At 45.5% G+C, this 9,134-nt stretch overlaps 1 pseudogene; it reads right to left on the bottom strand.

Moving 5' to 3' along the window:
* RNA5SP447 (RNA, 5S ribosomal pseudogene 447) lies at window positions 2,987–3,105 on the bottom strand (annotated as a pseudogene).

Here is a 9,134-nt window from a genome sequence, read left to right as displayed (position 1 = left end):
CCAAAGTGTTGGGATTACAGGCATGAGCCACTTCACCTGGCCTATCTATGATCTTTGATCTAAAATTCCAGCTTCTGGCTAGGTGCAGTGGCTCACACATGTAATCCTAGCACTTTGGGAGGCCGAGGCAGGTGGATCACTTGAGGCCAGGAGTTCAATACCAGCCTGGCCAACATGGTAAAACCCCGTCTCTACTAAAAATACAACATTAGCTGGACGTGTTGGCACATGCCTGTAATCCCAGCTACTCGGGAGGCTGAGGCAGGAGAATCGTCTGAGCCCAGGAGGTGGAGGTTGCAGTGAGTCAATCTTGCCACTGCACTCAAGCCTGGGTAACAGACTGGAACTCTTGTCTCAAAAAAAAGAATGGAGCACTGATACATGCTACAACATGGATGAACCTCAAAACATTAGGCTAAGTTGAAAGAAATCTCAAAAGACCACATATTGTATGATTCCATTTAGATAAAATGTCGATAAAAGGCTAATCCATAGAGACAAAAAGTAGACTAGTGGGTGTCAGGGGCTGGAGGAAGGATGGGGAGAGACTTTAAATGGGCATAAAGTTCCTTCCTGAAGCGATGAAATGTTCTAAAATTAGATAGTGGTGATGGTTGCACAATTCTTTGTACTGAAGACCATTCAGTTGTGCACTTTAAATGGGAAAATCTTGTGGTATATAAATTATATCTCAATAAAAAGGTGGGTTCTGGCCGGGCACGGTGCCTCATGCCTGTAATTCCATCACTTTGGGAGGCTGAGGTGGGCAGATCACGAGGTCAGGAGTTCGAGACCAGACTGGCCAAAATGGTGAAACCTCCATCTCTGCTAAAAATACAAAAATTAGCCGGGTGTGGTAGCGCAAGCCTGTAGTCCCAGCTACTCGGGAGGCTGAGGCAGAAGAATTGCTTGAACCCAGAAGGTGGAGGTTGCAGTGAGCCAGGATCATGCTACTGCACTCCAGCCTGGGCAACAGAGCAAGACTACATCTCAAAAAAAAAAAAAAAAAAAGGGTTCCAGCCTAGGTAACATGGTGAAACCTCCTAACCTCCTCTCTACAAAAAATACAAAAAATTAGCTGGGCGTGGTGGCACACACCTGTAGACCTAGCTACTAGGGAGGCTGAGGTAGGAGGATCATCTGAGGCCAGGAGCTTCAGGCTGCAGTGAGCTATGATTATGCCACTTTACTCCAGCCTGGGCAACAGAGTAAGACTCTGTCTCAAAAACAAAAACAAACACAAGATGGATTTATTTATTTATTTATTTATTTATTTATTTATTTATTTAAAAAAAAAAAAGAACTAAATCTGGCCAGGCGGGGTGGCTCACACCTGTAATCCCAGCACTTTGGGAGGCCGAGGTGGGTGGATCATGAGGTCAGGAGATTGAGACCATCCCGGCCAACATGGTGAAACCCCGTCTCTACCAAAAATACAAAAAAAATTAGCCGAGTGTGGTGGTGTACGCCTATAGTCCCAGCTACTCAGGATGCTGAGGCAGGAGAATCTCTGGAACCCGGAGGGAGAAGGTTGCAGTGAGCTGAGATCGCACCACTGCACTCCAGCCTGGGCTACAGAGTGGGCTCCGTCTCAAAAAACAAACAAACAAAAATAATAAAATTTTACTAGCTCAAGGATATTTGATAAAGTAAACGAAACTTCTTTCAACTTAACAAAACTTATTAGCCATGTCAGGCATGCTTGCTAATGCCTATGAGCTACGTAAAAGCCTACAAAAAGGTTTCTGGTTGGAGACCTAAGAAAATGTATTTTTTTTGTTGTTTGTTTGTGTTTTTGAGAAGTCGTCTCGTTCTTGTCACCCAGGCTGGAGTACAATGGGGCGATCTCAGCTGACTGCTACCTCCGCCTCGCTGGTTCAAGCAATTCTCTTGCCTCAGCCTCCCGAGTAGCTGGGATTACAGGCACCTGCCACCACGCCCGGCTAATTTTTGTATTTTTAGTAGAGATGAGGTTTCACCATGTTGGCCAGGCTGGTCTTGAACTCCTGACCTCAGGTGATCTCCTGCCTCGGCCTCCCAAAGTGCGGGTTTTATAGGCATGAGCCACTGCACCTGGCCAATATGTATTTGTTTTAAACTATAAAAACTTAACAATTAAAATTAATAAAATGCTAACAAATTATAATGGTATGTCAACCAACTGATAAAACTCATCTCATATAAAATTTGGCTGAGTGTGGTGACTCATGCCTGTAATCCCAGTACTTTGGGAGGCCAAGGCAGGTGGATCACCTGAGGTCAGGAGTTTGAGACCAGCCTGGCCAACATGGTGAAACCCCGTCTCTAATAAAAATACAAAAATTAGCTGGGCGTGGTGGTGGGCAACTGTAATCCCAGCTACTCGGGAGGCTGAGGCAGGAGAATCGCCTGAACCCAGGAGGCAGAGGTTGCAGTGAGCCAAGGTCAAGCCACTGCTCCAGACCCGGGCAACAGAGTGAGACTCCATCTCAAAAAAACAAGCAAACTCATCTCATATAAAACTAATATATATACACATAGATTAATATAGTATGAGATGTGGGCATATTTCATGTTTGACAGGATATCAGGTGAGACTTCCACAAGCCAGGACTATGAAGGTCATAGGCTAGGATAGCTGCCCCACCCAGCCAATTCTTCCTTTCTTTAAAGTGAGATCTTTCTTAAGGCTTCTATAGTCCTTTCTGGCAATCTTGCTCTTGCCTGGGCACCCAAGATCCTCAGATACATCAATAATAGATAGTGTTGAAGTTTTTGCCTCCCAGAAAGCAACATCTTTCTCAGTGTATGCAAATAGCTGGATGACAAAGAAAGTGTGTCATCTTACACCACTCCATAGAGGAGCCCTAGACCCTACCATACAAGGAGCCTGGTTCTAGAAGTAGCACTTACTGTGTTGTATTTATTCACATGTCCCCTATTAAACAACTGTGCTCCCTGAGAACTGGGATATCTCATTTACTCTCTTTTTTTTTTTTTTTTTTTAAGGTTACAGCATGTGGTATTCCCTGTTGGCCTCTCATCCAAGTACTAACCAGGCCTGACCCGGGTTAACTTCTGAGATCAGATGAGATCAGGCGTGTTCACAGTGGTAGGCCCATGGACTCATTTACTTTTGAATCTTAAGGTCTGGCACAACTCCAGACACATGCTCTGTGTTCAAAAAGAGATTTCTTTTTTCTTTTCTTATTTATTTATTTATTTTGAGACAGAGTCTTGCTCTGTCGCCCAGGCTGGAGTGCAGTGGTGCGATCTCAGCTCACTGCAAGCTCCGTCTCCTGGGTTCAAGCGATTCTCCTGCCTCAGCTTCCCAAGTAACTGGGAATACAGACGCCTGCCACCACGCCCAGCTAATTTTTTGTATTTTTAGTAGAGACGAGGTTTCATCATATTGGCCAGGCTGGTCTCGAACTCCTGACCTTGTGATCCGCCCGCCTCGGCCTCCCAAAGTGCTGGGATTACAGGCGTGAGCCACTGCACAAGGCCAAGACGAGATTTCTTAATTGGTAAATTATTTTTATTTATATACTGTTCATGGAGATAAGCACCATGTCCTTGGGTTTTTGTTTTCATGTCATTCTAATTTACAATCCTCCTTGGAAAAGAAAATAAAAGTGTTACAATATCACTATTGGCCAATCATCGTAGTAATAATTGATTTATGCAAGAATCATTAGGCCGGGCACGGTGGCTCACGCCTGTAATCCCAGCACTTTGGGAGGCCAAGGCGGGCGGATCACGAGGTCAGGATATCGAGACCATCCTGGCTAACATGGTGAAACCCTGTCTCTACTAAAAATACAAAAAAATTAGCCGGGCGTGGTGGCGGGCACCTGTGGTCCCAGCTACTCGGGAGGCTGAGGCAGGAGAATGGTGTGAACCCAGGAGGCGGAGCTTGCAGTGAGCGGAGATCCCGCCATTGCACTCCAGCCTGGGCGACAGAACAAGACTCAGTAGCCCCCCACAAAAAAAAAAAAAAAAAGAGAGAGAATCATCAATAAATGCTAAGAGGTTTGAATGAAAGTTGGAGGATTACACAGTTATTGACACAGTCTCAAAGTGCTTCACACATAATACTTATTATATTTTATTTTTTGAGAAGGAGTTTCGCTCTTGTCGCCCGGCTGGAATGCAACGGCACCATCTCTGCTCACTGCAACCTCTGCCTCCTGGGTTCAAATGAGTTTCCCACCTCGGCCTCCTGAGTCACTGGGATTACAGGCACCAGCCACCACGCCATGCTAATTTTTGTATTTTTTAGTAGAGATGGGGTTTCACTATGTTGGCCAAGGTGGTCTCCAACTCCTGACCTCAGGTGATCTGCCCGCCTTGGCCTCCCAAAGTGCTGGAATTACAGGCCTAAGCCACTGTGCCCGGCTACATAATACTTATTTTACAAAGAGAAAATACTAACTTTGCTGTGAAGACAGCTGGTGGACACCATCTCAACCAATGATCAAAATTAACATCCCCAGTAACACACTGACATCATAGGTCTCCTGCTATGATGCACTAAGAATAGCACAGCATCACTTCCGGGGTATTCCTGCCACAAATGCACAAACTGAATCTAGTCCTGAGAAAAGCAACAGATGTTCCCAAACTGAGGGACATTCTGCAGAACCGACTCCTCAAAAATGTCAAGGCTAGGCCGGGCGAGGTTAGCTAATAGTATTGTATGAAGGTGAATTTTCTGATTTTAATCGTCTTACTGTGGTTATGTTCCCACATAATTCCTTGTTTTTAGGAAACACATGCAAAGTGTTTAGAGGCTGGGTGTGGTGGCTCATGCCTATAATCCCAGTGCTTTGGGAAGTCAAGGCAGGAGTTTGAGAGCTCGGGAGCTCGAGACCAGCTAGGGCAATATAGTGAGACTTCTTCTATGCAAAAAAAAACACACAAAAAACAAAACTTACCTGGGTGTGGTTGCACACACCCGTACTCCCAGCTTCTTGGGAGGCTGAGGTGGGAAAATTGTGGGGGCCCAGGAGGTTGAGGCTGCAGTGAGCCATGATCACACCATTATACTCAAGCCTGGGCAACAGAGCAAGACCCTATCTCAAGAAAAAAAAAAGTGTTTGGAGGTAAAGGGGCAGTGTTTCTGCAGCTTACTCTCAAATGTTTCAGAAAAAAATATAGATATAGTGAGAATGATAAAGCAAATGTGATAAAATGTTAACATTTGGGGAATGTGGGTGAAGGTTGTATGGGAACTCCCTCTACTATTCTTGCAAGTTCTTGCAAGAATAGTACAATTATGCAAAAAAGTTACAAAATATTATAATATCTTCTGCCTCTGGACACTAAAGCTATTATGAGATGTTTTCTGTGGCACTAGGGGAATCTGGTAAGCCCGTGAAAGCCGGTCAGAAGGGTTTTGAGTCAGTAGAATTCCCTACCCTTTATCTGTTCTCTCTGCAAGGCCCACCCTGGGCCTAATGACTTTTGCATGGGTCTAGGTAAATTAGATTTATATGCAACATGACTTTATAAATTCCATATGTTAGAATGTATATCTGGCTACATACATTTAAAAAAATAATAGTGCGGAGGCTGGGTGCAGTGACTCATGACTGTAATCCTAGTGCTTTGGGAGGCCAAGGTGGGTGGATCATGAGGTAAGGAGTTTGAGACCAGCTTGGGCAACATGGTGAAACCCCATCTCTACTAAAATTACAAAAAAAATTAGCTGGGCGTGGTGGCAGGTGCCTGTAATCCCAGCTACCTGGGAGGCTGAGGCAGGAGAATCCCTTGAACCCTGGAGACAGAGATTGCAGTGAGCTGAGACCGTGCCACTGCACTCCGGCCTGGGCAAGAGTGAGACTCTGTCTCAAAAAAAAAAAAAAAAAAAAAAAAAGGCTTAAATGTGATAGAAGTTTAGTTTCTCACTCAAATAACAGAATTCAGATGGTCATTCCAGGGCTGGTATGGGGTCCCCTAATCATCAGAGACTCAAGACGCCTCTAATTTTCTTCTTGTTTTTAGAGACAGAGTCTTGCTCTGTTGCCAAGGCTGGAGTGCAGTAGCGTGATCTTGGCTCACTGCAACCTCCACCTCCCAGGCTCAAGTGATCCTCCCACCTTTGCCTCCCCACTAGCTGGGATTACAGGTGTGTGCCAACCCCCCTGGCTAATTTTTGTATTTTGTATTATTATTATTTTTTAGTAGAGATGGGGTTTCACTATGTTGGCCATGCTGGTATTGAACTCCTGGCCTCAAGTGACCTGCCTGCCTCAGCCTTCCAAAGTGCTGGGATTATAGGTGTGAGCCACTGTCCCCGACACCTCTAGTTTTTTTTTTTTGAGAAGGAGTCTTGCTTTTGTTGCCCAGGCTAGAGTGCAATGGTGCGATCTCAGCTCACTGCAGCCTCTGTCTCCCGGGTTCAAGCGATTCTCCTGCCTCAGCCTCCCAAGTAGCTGGGACTACAGGCGCGTACCACCATGCCCAGTTAATTTTTTGTATTTTTAGTAGAGACAGCGTTTCACCACGTTGGCCAGGGTGGTCTCAAACTCCTGACCTCAGGTGATCCACCCACCTTGGCCTCCCAAAGTGCTGGGATTACAGGCGTGAGCCACCACACCCAGCTGACACCTCTAGTTTTAATGCTCTGATGTGCTTAGCACACGGCCTCATGATCCAAGCTGGTTGCTCAAGCTCCAGGCTGCACATCCATATTCTACCCAGCAGGAAATAGGATGGAGCAAAAAAGAGTGCCTATAACCCTTTTTAAAGGACATTTTCTGGACAATGCACACAATAATTTTGATTGCAACTCTTTGTTCCAGGACAATTTCTTTTTCTTTTGTCTTTGTTTTTGAGACAGAGTTTTGCTTCCTTGTTGCCCAGGCTGGAGTGCAATGGTGCGATCTTTGGCTCACTGCAACCTCCACCTCCCAAGTTCAAGCGATTATCCTGCCTCAGCCTCCGGAGTAGCCGGGATTACAGGCATGTGCCACCACGCTAGGCTAATTTTGTATTTTTAGTAGAGATGGCATTTCTCCATGTTGGTCAGGCTGGTCTTGAACTCCTGACCTCAGGTGATCTGCCTGCCTCAGCCTCCCAAAGTGCTAGGATTACTGGTGTGAGCCACTGTGCCCAGCCTGTTCCAGGACAATTTCTAACTGCAAGAGAGGCTGTGAATTGTAGTCTGAGCAGCCATGTTCCATCTGAAAATCAAGGAGGGAGAGAATGGATATTGGGGTGTGTAACAAACCTGTGTTCCAACGCAAGATAAAAGGAATCAGTAAGAAAAATCTTGCAATTATGACTGAAGTGACAGTATTGAGATCACCTGGTGGCATAAAGGAGATTTGGAGGTGGGTGGTCTAGGACATGTGATCAGAGACAGGAGATGTTTTCAAAGAGAAGAAAATGGGAACAACCCTAAAGATGCCCTGGAAGGTAGTAACAAAAGACAGGTGAGAGTTCTGGGTAAGAGCTGTAATTCAGTAAGTGATTAAGACTTTAGAAGAGCTGGGTGAGGTGGTTCATGCCTGTAATCCAGGTACTTTGGGAGGCTGAGGCGGGAGGATCGCCTGAGCCCAGAGTTCAAGAACGTCCTGGGCAACATGGCAAAACCCTGTCTCTACAAAAAATACAAAAATCAACTGGGTGTGGTGGCATGCGCCTAGTCCCAGCTACTCAGGAAGCTGAGGCAGGAGGATTGCTTGAGACTGGGAGGTGGAAGGTGCAGTGAGCTGACATCACACCACTGCACTCCAGCCTGGGCAACAGAGTTAGACCCTGTCTCATTAAAAACAAAAACAAAAACAAAAAAAACTGTAGCTGAATAGGGAGAGAGGGAAGAGAAGGAAAACAGGATAAGTAAGAGACAAGGAAGAAAGTGGCCGGGCGTGGTGGTTCACGCCTGTAGTCCCAGTACTTTGGGAGGCCAAGGTGGGCGGATCACCTGAGGTCAGGAGTTTGAGACCAGCCTGGACAACATGGTGAAACCCCATCTATACTAAAAATACAAAAATTAGCTGGGCATGGTGGTGCACGCCTGTAGTCCCAGCTACTTGGGAGGCTGAGGTGGGAGAATTGCTTGAACCTGGGAGGCGGAGGTTGCAGTGAGCCAAGATCACACTAATGCACTGCAGCCTGGGCGACAGAGGGAGACTGTCACAAAAAACAAACAAACAAACAAACAAACAAACAAAAAACAGGAAGAAAGAAATAGAGGACCCAGTGAGGGATAGAATGGGAATAACAGGAGGCTCAATTTCAGCCCTGCTCTGCCCTGCTTGATGCTGGCTCTTTGGTCCCTGGAACTGTGGCCTCTCACTTTGTAAGAATTCCAGTGAGGGTAGCTTTATTTGGTGTAAAGAACCATCATCCACTTCCTATCATCTTAGTGTTGGAAACTCTCCTGACTTCACATAAAGCCTTTAGATAACAAAATCAGGTGGGCAAACATGGTACAAGGGTCAGAAAAAAAAATTAGGCCCCATTTAAAAGAAATCCAACTGTGTGCAGATACGTATGTTAATAATGACTGATAAATCAACCCATAGCTTTGCTGCTGTCTTCTGGGACACCGAAGCTATTATGGGAAAGTTTATTGTGGCTCTGACGAGGTCTGGTGAATACTGTGAAAGCTGGTCACGAGGCTTTTGAGTCAACAGATTGTTTTTTAAAGGAGTTCTTTAAAAAACTGCCTTACGTGCAATAAACAGCTGGCTCCTTTCTTGTGAGGCGGATCTTTACCTTTGGTCAAGACAATGGAAGGTCTATTGTTTTGGGTCTGATGAGGTTTGGTGAAAACAGTGAAAGCTGCTTACCAGGCTTTTGAGTCAATAGATTTTTTTTTAACTTTTAAGTTCTGGGGTACAAGTGCAGGTTTGTTACTAGGTAAACTTGTGTCATGGGGTTTTGTTGTACATATTATTTTGTCCCCCAAGTTTTAAGCCTAGTAGCCATTAGTTATTTTTCCCAATCCTCTCCTTCCTCCCACCCTCCACCCTCCGAAAGTCCCCAGTGTGTGCTGTTCCCTTCTATGTGTCTGTGTGTTCTCATCATGTAGCTCCCACTTTTAAGTGAGAACATGCGGTACTTGGTTTTCTGTTCCTGTGTTAGTTTGCTAAGGATAATGGCCTCCAGCTCCATCCATGTTCCTGCAAAGGTCATGATCTTGT

Source organism: Homo sapiens, chromosome 17 (genome assembly GCF_000001405.40).
Source record: "Homo sapiens chromosome 17, GRCh38.p14 Primary Assembly".
Lineage (NCBI taxonomy): Eukaryota > Metazoa > Chordata > Mammalia > Primates > Hominidae > Homo > Homo sapiens.
The sequence above is the reverse complement of the archived record's forward strand: the minus strand, read 5'-3'. Positions and strand labels throughout refer to the sequence as shown.